The sequence below is a fragment of the Homo sapiens genome, chromosome 1 (assembly GCF_000001405.40).
Source record: "Homo sapiens chromosome 1, GRCh38.p14 Primary Assembly".
Taxonomy (NCBI): Eukaryota; Metazoa; Chordata; class Mammalia; order Primates; family Hominidae; genus Homo; species Homo sapiens.
Window position 1 is genome coordinate 245,459,473 of NC_000001.11, and position 16,890 is coordinate 245,476,362.

The 16,890-nt window shown below is 46.5% G+C and overlaps 1 protein-coding gene across 1 annotated transcript in view, besides 2 other annotated features; it reads left to right on the top strand.

The window, feature by feature from the left end:
- The window catches only part of KIF26B (kinesin family member 26B), a 554,448-nt gene that overhangs the window by 304,488 nt on the left and 233,070 nt on the right, over positions 1–16,890 (top strand). The window lies entirely within an intron of this gene.
- Positions 6,789–7,290: an enhancer, noted in NCBI's record as "NANOG hESC enhancer chr1:245629563-245630064 (GRCh37/hg19 assembly coordinates)". NCBI's record gives its function as "activates a minimal SCP1, AML or CMV promoter by ChIP-STARR-seq in naive H9 embryonic stem cells {active_cell/tissue: H9 hESC(naive)}" and the evidence as "EXISTENCE:reporter gene assay evidence [ECO:0000049][PMID:30033119]".
- Positions 8,043–9,242: an enhancer, noted in NCBI's record as "BRD4-independent group 4 enhancer chr1:245630817-245632016 (GRCh37/hg19 assembly coordinates)". NCBI's record gives its function as "activates an origin of replication core promoter dependent on BRD2, P300/CBP, MED14 and CDK7 cofactors, and independent of BRD4, by STARR-seq in HCT116 cells {active_cell/tissue: HCT116}" and the evidence as "EXISTENCE:reporter gene assay evidence [ECO:0000049][PMID:35650434]".

Sequence of the window (16,890 nt, forward strand, 5' to 3'; positions counted from 1 at the left end):
GTGTTCAGCCTTATCTATTTTGTATTGAAAGAAACAGTCAACACAGTCAAATCCTTTATACCTTCCTTAAGACTGCACTGGTGTGGCCTACATAGCCACCTGTGTGCCAGCTGCTGTTTGTCACTAGGAAGACAGGGTGGGATGTGCGGGTGGTATGACCGAGGTGTGAAGAATCTCAGGGTTGGCTGTGTCAGTGAAGGAGTGAACGGGCACTTTGGGGTCACCTGAACTGGGAGAACTAAGTTCTCAAGCAGCAAAAACAGAGGCACAAAAGTGGATAAAAACCCAATAGTGCAGACCTGGAGCTAGGCTTCTTCTCTCAGTGGTGGCACAGAAAAGGATGAAAGTCTCTGAAATGTGCACCTGTGATTCAGGTTGCCACCCACTGAAAAATCATGATTCAAGATCTCTCCTCCTCATAAACCTTTTTTTTTTTTCCCTGCCTGCAGCCTAAGATAGAATTAGGAAGTCAAGAAAGGCTCTAGATGACTTTCAGAGTGTTTTTTGTTTGTTTGTTTTTTCTTTTTGAGACAGTCTCGCTCTATCATCTAGGCTGGAGTGCAGTGGCATGGTATCGTCTCACTACAACCTCTGTCTCCCAGGTTCAAGTGATTCTCCTGCCTCAGCCTCCTAGCAGCTGAGATTACAAGTGCCTGGCTAATTTTTGTATTTTTAATAGAGACAGGGTTTCACCATGTTGGTCGGGCTGTCTCAAACTCCTGACCTCAGGTGATCTGCCCACCTCGGCCTCCCAAAGTGCTGGGATTACAGGCGTGAGCCACCACGCCTGGCCCAGAGGTTTGTTTTTTTTGTTTTGTTTTTGTTTTTGTTTTTCCAGAATTAGCACATCTTCTCTTCTCTGGGTCATTTTTCTCTTAAATCAGAGATTGCAAAATGTGGTCCAAGGGTCAAATCCAGCCTGGAGTCCCCTGTTTTGGTAATGTTTCCTTGTAACACAGCCACCCCCATTTTTTACAGGCTGTCTGTGGCTGCTTTTGTGATACGATGCAGGAGTTGAGAAGTTGGACAGAGACCATATAGTTTAAAATATTTACCACCCTAGCCTTTGCAGAAAGTTCGCCCACCCCTTAGAGTACAGAAAAAGAAAGATTTCAGAGATGTCAGTTTGGGAAGGTCCTTGAAAAGTCACTTGGCAAAGAAAAGTTGTGAGAAGAAGGTTGATGTTTTGTCAAAGAAATGCAACGATGACAGATGCCAACCTGCCTTTTCTTCCAGCGGCAGAGGACCTCAGGCCGTGGTGTGCATGCCCGTGTATCGGTGTGGGTATGTGCACCTGCACACATGTGTGCTTACACGCAGCTCAAAACGGTGCCACCCTGTCCAGAGTTATTTTGGCCATCATGGTTCAAATCAACAGACTTTTCTGGAAAGCTTCTGCACACATGCCATGCTCAGAACAGGAGGTGCAAAGATGGGAAAGGATTCTGCCTGATATGCAAATAGTGACCGAAAACAAATAGTAAGGAGTGAGGCTGATGGAGAGCTAGGGGAAACAACTCACTGTCCCTGGGAGGGCTGCAGAGGACCCAGCACAGGCGTTCTGGGGTGTAATCTTCCTTCCATTCTCGTGAGAGAAGCTGAGTGGAAACCAAGAGCCTGGCTTTTCAGTGAGGACATGAAGCCTCTGATAGTTGCCTTCCCTCTGGAGGTGAAGCAGTCCTGGAAGAAAACATATTCTTACCTCAAATTCCAAAACAACATGTGGGGACTCTGTTGAGAAGCCTGGGTGACCTAGGGCTGACGTGGTAGAATCCAGACTGATTCTGCTTCTGCTTTCTCTTAAAGTCAGCTCAGTTTTCCCAATTTTTATCTTTTTTTTTTTCAGGGTCTCTCTCTGTCACCCCAGCAAGAGTGCAGGGCTCACTGCAGCCTTGACCTCCCAGGCCCAAGCAATGCCCCCACCTCAGCCTCCCAGGTAGCTAGGATTACGATTGCACCCCACCATGGTTTTCCCAATCTTATAACTAATTAGATCCGCTCATCACGTGTCCTGCAAGCATGCAGTGGCATGTCACAGTGCCCATCTGACAGCAGGGCAGGGTCGTTTGTTGAGAGAAACCCACTGAGGAGGAAATAAATTAATGTCCATCCTTTGCTCCCATCACCTCCAGCTGCACCATCCTTCACCAGGACCCATCAGAGCTTCCCCGGGGATGCTGCCCTGTGGTTCTCGGGGAAGCTGAGAGCTCTATGTTGCATCTTCCAGGGCACCTGTGGTCTCCGAAGTGTTGGCTGCAAGAATGGCTAAGCAGCGCACTCTCTTCAGACAAGAATAGTATTTTAATTGCCGACAGAATGCAGATATCGTTTCCACTATTGCCTCTGACACTTAATTTTAGGCCGGGCATGGTGACTCATGCCAGTAATCCCAGCCTTTAGAGAGGCTGAGCCTGGAGGACTGCCTGAGGCTAGAAGTTTGAGACCAGCCCTGGCAACATGGTGAGACCCTGTCTTTACCAAAAAAAGAAGAAGGAGAAGGAGAAATTAAAATTAGCCAGGCATGGTGGTGCATGCCTGTAGTCCCAGGTACTCAGGAGGCTGAGGCAGGAGGCCAGGAGTTTGAGGTTACAAGTGAGCTATGATTGTACCACTGCACTCCAGCCTTGGCAATGGAGAGAGACCCTGTCTCAGAAAAAGAAAAAAAATTAAAAAATGAAAAAAAGAAGAAGAAATGTAAGTTTAGGCATCTTGAAGGCAGGAGATTTTGACTGGTAATGGTGGAAGGATTTTGCAAAACTCCATGAGTTGACCTCATTCCTCAGAAATTCCATTGAGAATGGAGGGTGTTATGTGAAAATCCGAATCACAGGGGATGGCTTCGAGACATGTGGAAAGAATGCCGCCATTACATATGCACGCGTAGTGTTTGCCCCAGAGGAGGCTTTTGAAAAGTTCATCTACAATGTGCTAAAGTCGAGTTTTGCAGTGACTTCCTAGCGCATTTAGACTGGGCATAGTTTACATTACTGAGTATTTATCAGCCAGCAAATCAAAGCCAGAAATAGGTTACTCCTTTGTGGAGCAGGAGACAGTGACTGTCCTGGGAGGAAGTGACTGTCACAGCAATGGATTCCTTTAGTAGCATCTTCACTGTGTATTCACCGGGTACCCACCGTGTTAGCGATGACAGCCACCCTGTATCAGGTACTCCCAAGTGTCCGTTCCCCTGTTACTGAGCACTTTACAGGCACTCTTGTTTTGTGCTCACAGTAACCATTGAGGGAGATGAGGCACAGAATATGAAGTTAGTTGCCAAAAGTTGCCAGAGCTGGGATTTGGGCTCCAGGTGGACTGACTTTAGAGGCTGTGCCCTCCATCCTTGCCCTGAACAACCTCCTGTGAAGAAATCAGTGTGAATGAATGAATGAATGAATGAATGAATGAATGAATAAGACCTGAAGAGGCAGGCAGGCTCTGGGAGATGCAGAGACAACTTCTGCCCAGTTTGTGCTCAGGTTGTGGAGACAAGGCTTCCTACGAGATGCACACACAGAAATTTGGCAGAATGGGTAAGTGGATAGCACACAGTATGAGGTGGGTCCAATGACTGCTGAGATTCCCTCTGTCCTCCACCCACACTTTCTCAACGGTGTCCTTCTCAGAAGAGAACCTGCTTCTTCGACCGGCCTGGTAGGAACAGCACTCACCACCCATTTGTGTGCCAGTACAGGTAAGTAAGAGTGCTCCCGGCCGCCCTTCAGCCGTGGTGCTCAATCTGCTGCATGCATCACCTTAGCCAATCCTCACGTCAATCCCACTAGGTAGGGATTATCACTGCAGTTATATAGACAAGGGACCTGTGGCTCAGGGAGGTTAAGCTACTTGCCAGATCTCATGGCTAAGAAGTGGCAGAACCAGGATTCATGCAATGGTGTGGCCGTCCTTCAAATCCTGTGAACCTCCCATGGGAACCTCCCATGACATCTTGTGTCTCCCCTGGATATACATCCGTACCATGACGGGTTTTCTTTTTTCCTGGTGGGAAAGGGCAGCTGGGGGTGAGAATGCTCCAGAGAGTGGCAGAATGGAGCTATGGACATGAAAGTATTTGGATCGTTGGGAAGTGCAGAGGTCAGCTCCGCACACACTTCCTGGGACTTTGCAGTCAATGGTTACTGAAGTTACTTAATACCCACTTGTCCCACGACTGGTGAGTCCCGCCTATTGCCTGCTGTCCTGTGGTGCAGCTGCTGTTTGTCCATCTCCAGGGCCACCAAAGCCCGTCTGGATTGTGATTCAAGGTGTAAGAGGACATGGAAAAAGAACTGATTTGTGTTGTATGAGTTTAGTTTAACTTGATTACAGGAAACTGTTGGTGGGTGAATGTAGGATTTCATTGCGTATAAACATTTCAGAGACAAGTCCCTTTCAGCTACTTTCTACTTGGGAATACTTGTGAGGTTTTTCACCTAAGGCTTCCCCGTAATGATTTTGTCCTGATGATTCATTCCTTAATTAGTGGTATTTTATTGCCGCTTTGCCACAGAGCTTTCAAAACCATCACCTCCTCCTCCTCCTCTGGAAAACGTGCACAGACTTTGCCCACATTTAATCATGCCATCCCCACCCTTTCTAGTCTTTCTTCAAACTTCTACCAGTTCCTGTGTTTCTGAGAGGAGCCCAAGTCAAACACTATGAGATAAACATCAAGAGCTTAAAATGAATGCATGTTCAAAAAATATGCTGGTCTCTGATTCCAAACATGGCTACTGCTAACCCATTGAAGACCCATCAAAGACCTGACTATTCTGAATTGTTTTAATAGCAGTGAGGGGTGAGTCGATGTCTCAGGAGAGGATGGCCCAGACCTAGGTAATGTGTGTCCCGTCCCCCGACCCAGTGAGCACGTGTGTGCATCTGTGGGTGTGTGCGTGTGTGGGTGTGTGTAGGTGTGTGTGTGTGGGTGTGTGCGTATGTGGGGGTGTGTGTGGGTGTGTGCATGTCTGGGTGTGTGGGTGTGTATGTGTGCGTGCGCGTGTGGGGGTGTGTGCCCGTGGGTGTGTGTGGGCGTGTGCATGTGTGGATGTGTGGCACCATGTGTGTGGGTGTGCGTGGGTGTGTTCCTGTGTGGGTGTGTGGGTGTGTGTGCACGTGTGTGGGTGTGTGCTGTGCGTGTGGGTGTGTGGGTGTGTGCATGTTTGGCACCGTGTGTGTGGGTGTGCGTGTGTGTGTGTGGGTGTGTGCATGTGTGAGTATGTGCATGTGTGTGCAAGCGTCTGGCACACGGTGTTTTTGACTGGACTGAGGTTGTGGTACCAGAGTCCAGAAGACAGACAGTTGAAGTTGTGTCGTGGAGGGACACTGACATGAAATCTGGCAAGTCATGTCCAAACCAGGTCACTAATCAATTGTGAGCAGAGAGCAGTGAGCAGAGGGCAGCAGCTATGTGCAGAGCCAGAGGCCGGGGTTCGAATGCACAGGAGCCACGTGGACACTGCTGCAGGCTGCCCGGGCACCCAGCCGCAGATTACCTGTGTTACCTCATGCCTTTTTTTTTTTTTTTGAGACTGAGTCTCACTCTGTCGCCCAGGCTGGAGTGCAGGGGCGCGATCTCGGCTCACTGCAAGCTCCGCCTCCCGGGTTCACGCCATTCTCCTGCCTCAGCCTCCCGAGCAGCTGGGACTACAGGCGCCCGCCACCACACCCGGCTAATTTTTTGTATTTTTAGTAGAGACGGGGTTTCCCCATGTTGGCCAGGATGGTCTCCATCTCCTGACCTCGTGATCCGCCCGCCTCGGCCTCCCAAAGTGCTGGGATCACAGGCGTGAGCCACCGCGCCCGGACCCATTGCCTCATTTCTTCCTCCAGCCGCCTGTGGGTGGGGACTGTTCCCGCTGCAGTCTCCTGGGTGAGAGATGAGGGAGCTGCTGGTGAGAGGCGGTTGCCCCATCACCTAAGCTCGTGACCAGGGGAGGGGGAAAAGCATCACTGCTCAGGCAGGAGCCCCCATGCCTCCTGCTTGGGGTTCACTTAAAGGCACGGCTTAGAGAGATTCTATCGACCAAAGGATGGAAAGAGCCACGGAGAAAGTATCTTTCCGGTTTTTGCTTTCCTCTGTGTTCCGTTTCCTTCCCATTTACACAGGTGCCTTTAGCACGTAGATATTCACAGCTCTCTAGAGTCACCAACTCCTCGAATATCCCTGGGGTCCTGGCAGAAAGCGGATGGCGCGCTGCGTCTAACGGAGAGTTTTTGGAAAGGACTGTTTACAAAAGCTGTCGCAGGTGCAGGCAAGCCGTGGTGCGCAGTGCTCCTGCCAGCCGCTGGGGAGGCCTGAGGGCAGGAGGGGAAGCCACGACCACCACCCCGAGAGGGAGGACCCGGGAGCATCAGCTGAGAGGCATCATGGGACAGGAGCCAGGAGGACAAGTGCCCTGTCCTCTCCCATCTCCTTCTGCGCTCTCCAAGGGCTGAGCCCATCCTGAAGCCAGAAGGAAGCCTGTCGAGGCAGCTTGCATCCGTCTGCCTCCTGGCGCAGAGCAGAGTAGAGAGATTGAAGAGTGGACCTGGACGGGCAAGTGTTCATAGAAGGCGCACAGTACGAGCATCTCATGAAAACAGTGGGCCCTGCTGCTCAGAAAAATGCCCAAACACACCAAATGTGGCATATGTTTTCAGGGGATCCATATACCCCTTTTAGCCAGTCTCTGGACCAGACTGTAGAGTAAGAGTCTGATTTAGATCGATGGGAATGTTTGTTTGTTTGTTTGTTTGTTTGTTTCCCTCCTGATAAAAAATCCTGGGGTTTGTGCTCTCCTTTAAGTCTGTAACAGCTGAGTGAACAAATGGCCTGCACGCCGGCTCCCAGGTCAGATGTCCAGCAAGCAGACGCTTCTTTTCTTGTTTCTCTGTCTCAAGGGAGCAAGTAAGTCCAGAAGAAGAAAGGATCTGGTGAAGGAGGCTGCAACCCGAAGTTATTTTAAGAGAGTGTTGAAAATGAGGGCTATCTAAAGCAGAATGTGTGGCTGGGATTTACAAGGTAAATCAAAGCAGCTGTAGGAAGGAAAGAAAAGATTTTCAATGACAAACGTTTTCCTTTTTACTTGTTCTTTTGAAAGAAAGGGGAATGTGTGGGCAGACAGTTGTGAGGATCTTGACTTAAATACTTGACTGCCTTTTCACATGCATGCTTTAAAAACTCTCTGGTTCCGGCTGGGCGTGGTGGCTCACGCCTGTAATCCCAGCACTTTAGGAGGCCAAAGCAGGTGGATCACTTCAGGTCAGGAGTTCGAGACCAGCCTGGCCAACATGGTGAAACCCTGTCTCCACTAAAAATACAAAAATTAGCAGGGCGTGGTGGTGAGTGCCTGTAATCCCAGCTACTTGGGAGGCTGCGGCACGAGAATTGCTTGAACCCAGGGGACAGAGGTTGCCGTGAGCTGAGATGGCGCCACCGCACTCCAGCCTGGGCAACAGACTCCATCTCAAAAAGAAAGACAAACCAACAAAAAGAAAAACACAAAAACTTTCTGGTTTCTTAAATGAATGACACTCACTTCGAGAAGAAGGCCCGTCTAACCTCAGCCTTATTTTTGCATTCAGCTAGATAATAAAGTCACTCAAGGTCTTGGGTCCAACCAGATGCTAAAAATGGCTGTTTTTGCTCAACACTATAAGATTGGAAGTCAGGGAGCTTTGGACTTTGGACATTTGGAACTGAGGATTCACCTAGAACATCAACGTTTTTGAACATTCCATAATAAAATAAATCCTGTTAACTCTTAGGCATTTATACCCCCAATGTGGTGGGATAAAAGGATGAGGAAAAAAGTGGCACCAAGATGATGCGAGCTCTTTATTCTGTGTTTCGGTCTCATCCCATTCAGATGCTTCTTCATGGAACATTTCCAGGCAGTGGTGCCTGATATTCTTCATTTCTTGAAAATTCTGGTTTTGTTGCCCTGAGAGTTTGAGATGAAAATCTGGTTCCTGGAGAAAAGGGTCTTCTTCTATCAGTGAAGCCCGTCAGTGTTTGGTTCTGGAGTGACTGCAAACAAAAAGAGCCCTCCAAGTCTCAGCTCTTCCCCTCTCTGCTGGTAGATGGAAATCTCTGGATCTGAATTCCTAATGGGCCCCACCAGTCTGATATTTTAATTAGTCTGGTTTAAACATGGTTGGAGGCCGGGCGCGGTGGCTCATGCCTGTAATCTCAGCACTTTGGGAGGCTGAGGTGGGCGGATCACTTGAGGTCAGGAGTTTGAGACCAGCCTGGCCAACATGGTGAAACCCCATCTCTACTAAAAATACAAAAATTAGTTGGCCATGGCGGTGTGTGCCTGTAATCCCAGCTACTAGGGAGGCTGAGGCAGGAGAATCACTTGAACCCAGGAGGTGGAGGTTGCAGTGAGCTGAGATCTTGCCACTGCATTCCAGCCTGGGCAACAGAGTCATAAAAAAAAAAAGTGGGGGTTGGGGGGTTGGCAGTGGCCTTCACACACAGCAGTCTCTGCCTTTAATAATGGTTTAAATCATGTGTTAGATCTAGGCCCTTTGGTGAGAGCCAGGTTGAACACCCCTGAAGCATTTGCTCTTTGATCTATGGCCTCCTATTCCTTTGAACTTTCCCAGAAAGCAGGGTGGGGGTGGGGATGGGGAACACTAACCCAGAATTCTTTAAATTTCTTTCTAATGATTTGGAATGATCAGAAACTTTTAAACCAACTTCATTTCCACCTTCCAGCCATGCTTATCCATCGTAAGACTATTTTTATCTTCCATAAGAACCCATTCTCCAGTGACTCTTAGATGGAAAACACAACACTACAGAGTTACCATAAACCACTTTTCCTTAATTGCTGACATGGAACCAGACAGAGGGGGGTCATTGGTTTGGAGAAGGAGAGGGAGGGAGAATATCTACGCCCTCTCTGTCCCCTTCCCAGACACCTCATTGCCTCTGAGGATTCTCTTCCCTTCACTCTCATCACAAAAGAGGTAATTACCTTATTTCAGGCATCCTTTTTATAGAGCAGGCAGCAGCCTGTCACGGTAGTAGCATTTCACTCTTCCAAGAATGGAACCATTGCACAATGTCCCAGGAGTCATTTGTGATTTTTATGAGAACCTGAAGAGGTTAAAGAAAAGAACAGAAAAATAAGAAAGCCTTTGCTGAGAAGAAGGGAGCTGTTAGCCAAAAGAGGGAATTTGGGCTGAGAAATTATTGTCTGAAATACTTACATCTTAGAGAGAGAGAGAGAGAGAGAGAGGTGAGGGAGGGGCTTTGTTATTGAATTGAGTGACATTTCTCTTTATTATAAAGTTATAACGTCCGGCAGTAGAACTGCCAGTAAAACTCGATCTGGAGTGTTTTCTTTCCCCCTCGCTATGCTCTTTTAGCAGTTTGCATCTGGACTGTTAAATTAAGGGTTCTTGCATGGGAAATACTTCTTATTCCTTCAGCAAGTGAAACTACTTGCTAAAGTAATTATTTTTAAATGCAAATATATATACACACATACCTTGTGTGTATGTATTTTTAAATATTTACACACAATATATATTCATGTATATGTATGTATGTTGTATTTTTGTGGTTTTGTGTTTTAACATCAGCTGCGGTAGAAAGAGAAGGGTGGCTCTGCTAAGAGTCCCTCCTCAACTGGCCTCTGGCTGCAACGTAAATGACCTCCCTTGTTCCCTACCAGCATGGCTGGAGCAAAAACGCCAGAGTCTCACGTACAAACATTACCTGGAGTCTTCCTACTGCACTCCTGCACTGTGGCATCCAGAGAAACAGCGTCACTTGGGGAGAATGTCATGCACTCCTGCACTGTGGCATCCAGAGAAACAGCGTCACTCAGGGGAGAATGTCAGGCAGGGATGAGCTGCCTTGACTTGAAATGGTCTTGCCTCTCATCTCAATTAAAATCAAGCCATTAACTGGCTTTAATGTAGAGATTTTGTGGTTCAGTTTTCTTCAGTGGTATCCATTATAAAAAAAGATGGGGGTTATAGGTAGCAGAACTGATTGGCATAGTTGTCAGGCATATAGTATGTATTATTAATATTTAATATGTATTATTAATGTTCCCTACCTATAGTGAGAGCTATCCTGGCTTAATCAGTTATCCTTCACTCCAGGACGAAACCATGCTTTCTGTGGTTACCTGAATTCCAGGTGGGGCTAAGCACAGCTAAGAGTATCTGGTAGCCTCTTCAAGTGGCTTTTGTATCACCCAAACCTTTTAAAAACTGCCACACAAACTGATAAAAACGTATACTTCTGTCTATCCTTGATTGAATGTAATTGTCACTATTTATTTTAAAGAAATGGACAACTTAGAGCCCTATTGCAACACATCCCAAACCCAGCTCACTTAAACCATTAATCAAAACATTTTTCCTCCCTACCTGTGGTCTGTAAGGAGGATACAATCTAGTCTCTGATTGCACAATTAAACAGGTGCAGAAAGCAGTCTATGGATTCATGCCAAATGAGTGGTACTGGAAGGGAATTCTATGGGAGTTCAAAGAAACCGGAGGTCACAGTAGATCAGAGTTGGTTGGCGGGAGTCTCGGGGGAGAAATGGGGTTTGACGTAGGCCTTGAAAGAACCGATAGGATTCAGACAAACCTGAGTAATGGGAGGGTGTTCCGAGCCACACACACTGATTGTTCAGTTTGGTTTGCTCAGCTAGAGGACGTGTTGGGAAGATGGGTCTGATTGGAGGTGACGTTGACACCCAGACTTAGATTCTAAGGGCAGGGGGAGTTCCCTGAAGGATTTTAAGTGCCAGGGGCCTGGTAGTGCTCGTGTGTTAGGCAGAAGGGAGGCGAACTAGGCTGTCACAATCATCTAGATTGGAGTTACTGAGAATCTGGATCGGGTGGACATGAAAAGAAAGCAGTGGATTCAAGTTACAAAGGAAGAATTGGCAAGGGGTGGCAAAACAGTCACTGCTTGGAAAAACCATTTTTCTGAAGCATAATGCCACTTTGTTTTTGTTTTTGTTTTTGAGATGGAGTCTCACTCTGTCGCCCAGGCTGGAGTGCAGTGGTGCGATCTCGGCTCACTGCAAGCTCCGCCTCCCGGGTTCACGCCATTCTCCTGCCTCAGCCTCCCGAGTAGCTGGGACCACAGGCACCCGCCACCACGCCCGGCTAATTTTTTGTATTTTTAGTAGAGACAGGGTTTCACCGAGTTAGCCAGGATGGTCTCCATCTCCTGACCTTGTGATCTGCCCGCCTCGGCCTCCCAAAGTGCTGGGATTACAGGCGTGAGCCACCACGCCCGGCCACCACTTTGACCCCTGTCTTTGCTCTGTGTCTCCTGAAGGACAAGAAGGCCATCGTGCTAGGCTTCGGAATTCCCTGCCTATTCGTGCATAATTTGAAATCATCTCTATGTAGCTTTCAGATGCTCATTTCCTTCTGGACTCCCTAGTACAATTTCATCAATTTCATATTCTCTCTCTCTCTCCTCTCATAGGTATATAGTATATATTTTACTTGATGACTGACTCAAGAATTTTCAGATGGGTTCTGATCTTGTTTAGCTGGAAGCATTTTCTAGAGAGCCAAAGCCATTGTTATTTTGGCTTCTACATTTATTGTCGTATATTCAAGCAGAACAGTGTAAAAATGATTACCAAAGTTGAGCCTATTATTTAGATTTTGATAGTATGTGTGTGTGTGTGTGTATATATATATATATTTGAGAAGGAGTTTTGCCCTGTCACCTAGACTGGAGTACAGTGGCACCATCTCGGCTCACTGCAACCTCCACCTCCCAGGTTCGTGCAGTTCTCCTGCCTTGGCCTCCCGAGTAGCTGGGATTACAGGCATGCACCACCACGCCCAGCTAATTTTTATTGTATTTATAGTAGAGACGGGGTTTCATCATGTCGGCCAGGCTGGTCTTGAACTCCTGACCTCAGGTGATCCACCCACCTCGGCCTCCCAAAGTGCTGGGATTACAGGTGTGAGCTACCACACCTGGCCTGATAGTTATGTTTTTAACTCTAGATGACTAAAAGACACCTATAAAGATATAGAAGTTAAGACAAAAGTCACAATTATGTTGACAACTGCTGTTACAGTGTTTTCAATATATTTATCCAATAGAAAAGTTTTATTTTACTGCACAATAATATGTTCTATTAAATTAATAAAAACGTACTCATGAGTGACTTCTTGTCATACAGATCTCTATATCTCTTAGAGCTGTATGTCGGCGTTTTCTCTCTGGATATATAATATACATATTAATCAATTCATTCATTGAGCCTGTGCTTGGCATGATTCCAGGTGCTTCAGTATAATAGAGCAATAAAGACAAGCCCCCTGCTCTCTTAGATCTTACTTTTTTTTTTTTTTGAAATGGAATTTTGCTCTTGTCTCCCAGGCTGGAGTGCAATGGCACGATCTCGGCTCACTGCAACCTCCACCTCCCGGGTTCAAGTGATTCTCCTGCCTCAGCCTCCCGAGTAGCTGAGATTACAGGCGCCCGCCACCACACCCAGCTAGTTTTTGTATTTTTAGTAGAGATGGGGTTTCACCATGTTGGCCAGGCTGGTCTCAAGCTCCTGACCTCAGATGATCCGCCCACCTCGGCTTCTCAAAGTGCTGGGATTACAGGCGTGAGCCACTGCGCCCAGTCAGATCTTACATTCTGATAGAGGGATATAGACAATAAACAAGCCAGAAAATACCTGCCAGTCAAAAAGCTGTGATGGGAACCAGCCAGGCAAAGATCTAGAGGGAGAGCACCAGGCCTGTCTCCACTTATGTGAGACGTACAGAAACACACAGCGCCTTGCCCGTGGGAGGTTCTCACCACGTATTTATTGAGGAATAAATGAGTGAATGGATGTATTCATTGGCCTGCTTGTAAAACCTTCACCAGTGGACTCTTGGCTTTTAGAACTTTATTACAGGTTGAGTAATATCTGAAATATCCCTTATTCAGAACACTTGAAACCAGAGGTGTCTTGGATTTTGAATTTTGGGGGGTTTGGAAATATTTCTACTGTACTTATATTTATCAAGTGAGCACCCTAAAATGAAAATCTGAAGTCCTGAATGCTGCAGTGAGCATTCTCTTTGAGCATCATGCTGGTGCTTAAAAAGTTTTGGATTCTGGAGCATTTTGGGTTAGGGATCTTCAACCGGTATGCTAACAATAGTGATCTTATGTAGTATTTTCCCTCCAAAGAGATTTGAGAGAGAAATAAGTGGCTGCCGTGGTTGGCCGTCTTTCTCTGGCTCACTTCACCTTGTTGCCCTCGGATAACTCCAGTGAACTCCTTCTTACTTTTCAAGGCCATGGCTCTTCCAAGCAACCTCCCTGAGCCCCTTGGGCTGGGTCAGGAGGGTTCCCCAGGCCTGCATGGACCTACAATGTGCTACTGAAATGATCATTTATGTGTCTGTCTCTTTCTCTAAACAGTGGGCTCCCCCAGACTGGGCACAAAGTTATTTACCTAATGTAGCCAAGAGGTAGGTGTGCAAGAATTGTTTTCTGTTGAGATGAAAATCACCAAGCCTGGTCATTTGCTTTCTGTGTAGACAGCAGTGTGTTGTTCACTTAGGACTCTGCTCTCTGTCTCGTGCAACTTACCCTTTATTTAGGGAAAATGAACAATCTGTAAACAATAAGAGAACACTGGCAAATCAATACAGTCAAGACCTGTGGGAAAATGTAGAGGTGTCAAGAGTAAGAGAATAAGCTGAGGGAGCAGGTGTGGATCACCATGGTCTCCTTTGACTTGCTCAATAAAGACCCTCTGACCAAAGGTTAGCTGCAAACGCCTTTGTTTTGGAGGGCTAGTATGCAGTGGTTTCGTGATGTGTCTTTTATATGGTCTCATGGTTTTCAATTTCTTAATTGATGTTTCTGATTTACCTGAAAGCTTTAAATGTTCATGATCTTGGCTTGGTACACATTAGACATTAAGGTTTACAACCGATGCCTGTCATTGCCATTTGAATGTGTTGGTGACATTCCTGGTGTGGCAAGCTAGGCGAGTGTGCCCCCATCGACAAAAGAGGCTGAATTCTATATTCTGCACTATATGGACTGCCTTTCTCTTTCACTCACTTGCTTTTTAAATGACACAATTCATCCCATTCTTAATGGGGGTTGGGGGAGAAAGGAAGAAGGAAACGAAAGCAAGCAAAAGAACCACTCAGTGCCCGCAACTGTTATTATGATCTTGGTATATAGCTCTAAATACTTTCAAAAATATACTTGAAATACTTTCATAGGTTTTACAACAAATAGGATTATACAACCAATTTTATCACAGTGAATTTCCAAGTCAATAACTGCTTTTCAGACTATGTTCCAAGGAGGGGCCGGGGTTGCCCAGCTCAAGAGAACAGGAATCCCTGCAAAGGGCCAGGGGCCCGTCAGTGGCTCCTCCTCAGTGCAGCTCTGCTCTCTCGGTTTTTTTATTGATACATAATAGAGGTACATATTTTGGGGGTGCATGTGATAATTTAATACGTTCATATCATTGTAAAGATCCAATTGGTGTCATTGGGATACCCATTACCTTAAATATTTCCCCTTTCTTTATGCTAGAAACATTTGAGTTCTTCTGTTCTAGCTATTTTGAAATATACAATAGATTATTGTAAACTGTAGTCACCTACTGATCTGTCAAACAGTAGGTCCTTTTTTTTTTTTTTTTGAGATGGAGTCTCGCCCTGTCACCCAGTCTGGAGTGCAGTGGCATGATCTCAGCTCACTGCAACCTCTGCCTCCCGGGTTCAAGTCATTCTCCTGCCTCAGCCTCCCGAGTGGCTGGGACTACAGGTGCCCGCCACCACATCTGGCTAATTTTTTGTATTTTTAGTAGAGATGGGGTTTCACCACATTAGCCAAGATGGTCTTGATCTCCTGACCTCGTGATCCACCTGCCTCAGCCTCCCAAAGTGCTGGGATTACAGGCGTGAGCCACTGCTCCTGGCTTTTTTTTGTTGTTGTTTTTTTTTTTTTGGAGTCTCACTCTGTCGCCTGGGCTGGAGTGCAATGGTGCGATCTTGGCTCACTGCAACCTCCACCTCCCTGGTTCCAGTGATTCTCCTGCCTCAGCCTCCCGAGTAGCTGGAATTACAGGCATGCGCCATCATGCCTGGCTTATTTTTTGCATTTTTAGTAGAGATGGGGTTTCACCATGTTGGCCAGGCTGGTCTTGAACTCCTGACTTCAGGTGATCCGCCTGCCTTGGCCTCCCAAAGTGCTGGGATTACAGACGTGAGCCACCGCACGCAGCCTCAAACACTGGGTCTTATTTCTTCTAGCACACTGTATACTTGTACCCACTAAACAACTTCTCTTCGTCTCCCATCCCCGCTGCCCATCCCAGCCTCTGGTAACCACCCATCTACTCTCTGTCTTCACCAACTCCACTTGTTTAGTTCCCAAATATGAGTGAGAACGTGTGATATTTGTCTTTCTGTGCCTGGTTCATTTCACTTCCCATAATGACCTCTAGTTCCATGCATGTTGTACAGCTCTTCTCTCATTGGAATATATTTTGTAAAACAAACAAAAAAAAATTGGGGGTATGAAAGGTTTTCACTGCTCATATAAATGACAACTTGTAAACTACTGTGAATAGCAATATTTTCATTGAGTAGAGTGCTACCAATATGCCCATTCAGAATGAAAAACTCTGACAAACAGCTCTGTCCGTATATCCTTATCACTCACTGACAATCTTTTGATTGGCACTGGAGCACCCATCTGCTGGGTTTTGTGGAGACTGTGGCCATCTCTGCCTTTTAGACTGAGCTGCTCAGACAGTTGACCCAACACCGGCTGCCTCCTTGCCACTGAATCGGAATGAGGTCATACTTGTACATGCTTCTTGGAAGGTTTTCAGGCCTCAGCTCTACTGAGCGAAGACTTGGTTGAGTAACAAGTGAGGAGGAAACTGTAGGGTTCCATTGTTTACAATGGGGACAGCCTGCGGCACCACTAGACATTCTGAGGCGGGTCCTGGTTGGGGGTCAGAAGGTCATTGGATAGGCGGGAAAAAAAATCATTGCAAGGTTATGATTGCACCAGTGCATTCCAGCCTGGGCGACAGAGCCAGACTCCATCTCTTACAAATAAATCAGAGGAATGGGAGAAAATATTTACAAATCATGCATTTGATATTTCTCCAATCATATACCGGTGGCCAATAAGCACACGAAAAGATGCTTAACATCATTAGTCATTAGGAAAATGCAAATAAAAACCACAATGAGATGCCACTTCAAACCGTCTGGGATGACTATAATCAAAAAGACAGATCGTGCATTGGGGGCATTTTGAGCATTGGTGAGGATGTGGAGAAGCTGGAACAGTCTATACGTTGTTTGTGGGAATGTAAAACAGGGCAGCCGCTGTGGCACAGTCTGGCTGTTCCTCAAAAGCTTAAACACAGAGTTACCAAATGATCTAACAATTCCATTCTTAGGGATATACCCAAGAGAACTGAAAACATACATCCACACAAACATTAGTACACGAATGTTCATGGCAGCGTTAGTCAAAATAGCCAAAATGGAGGAAGTAACCCAAAGGTCTATCCCTGATGCATGAATAAACAATGTGGTGTATTTGCACAATGGAAAGTTATTCGCCACAAAAAGGAATAAAGTGCTGATGCATGCTGCCATGTGGATGGACCTTGTAAACGTTCTGGTAGCTGAAATAAGCCAGATACAAAAGGCCACATATAGTAAACTGCGTTTATATGAAATGTCCAAAATAGGCAAAACTATAGAGACAGAAAATACATTTGTGGTTGCCTAGAACTGGGGGTGTTGAGTGAGACGAGGAGTGAGTGTTAAAGGGTGTGAGTGAGGAAGATATTCCGTGTTCCATGATGATTACATCATTACATGCATAGTGATTGCACAACTCTGTGAATA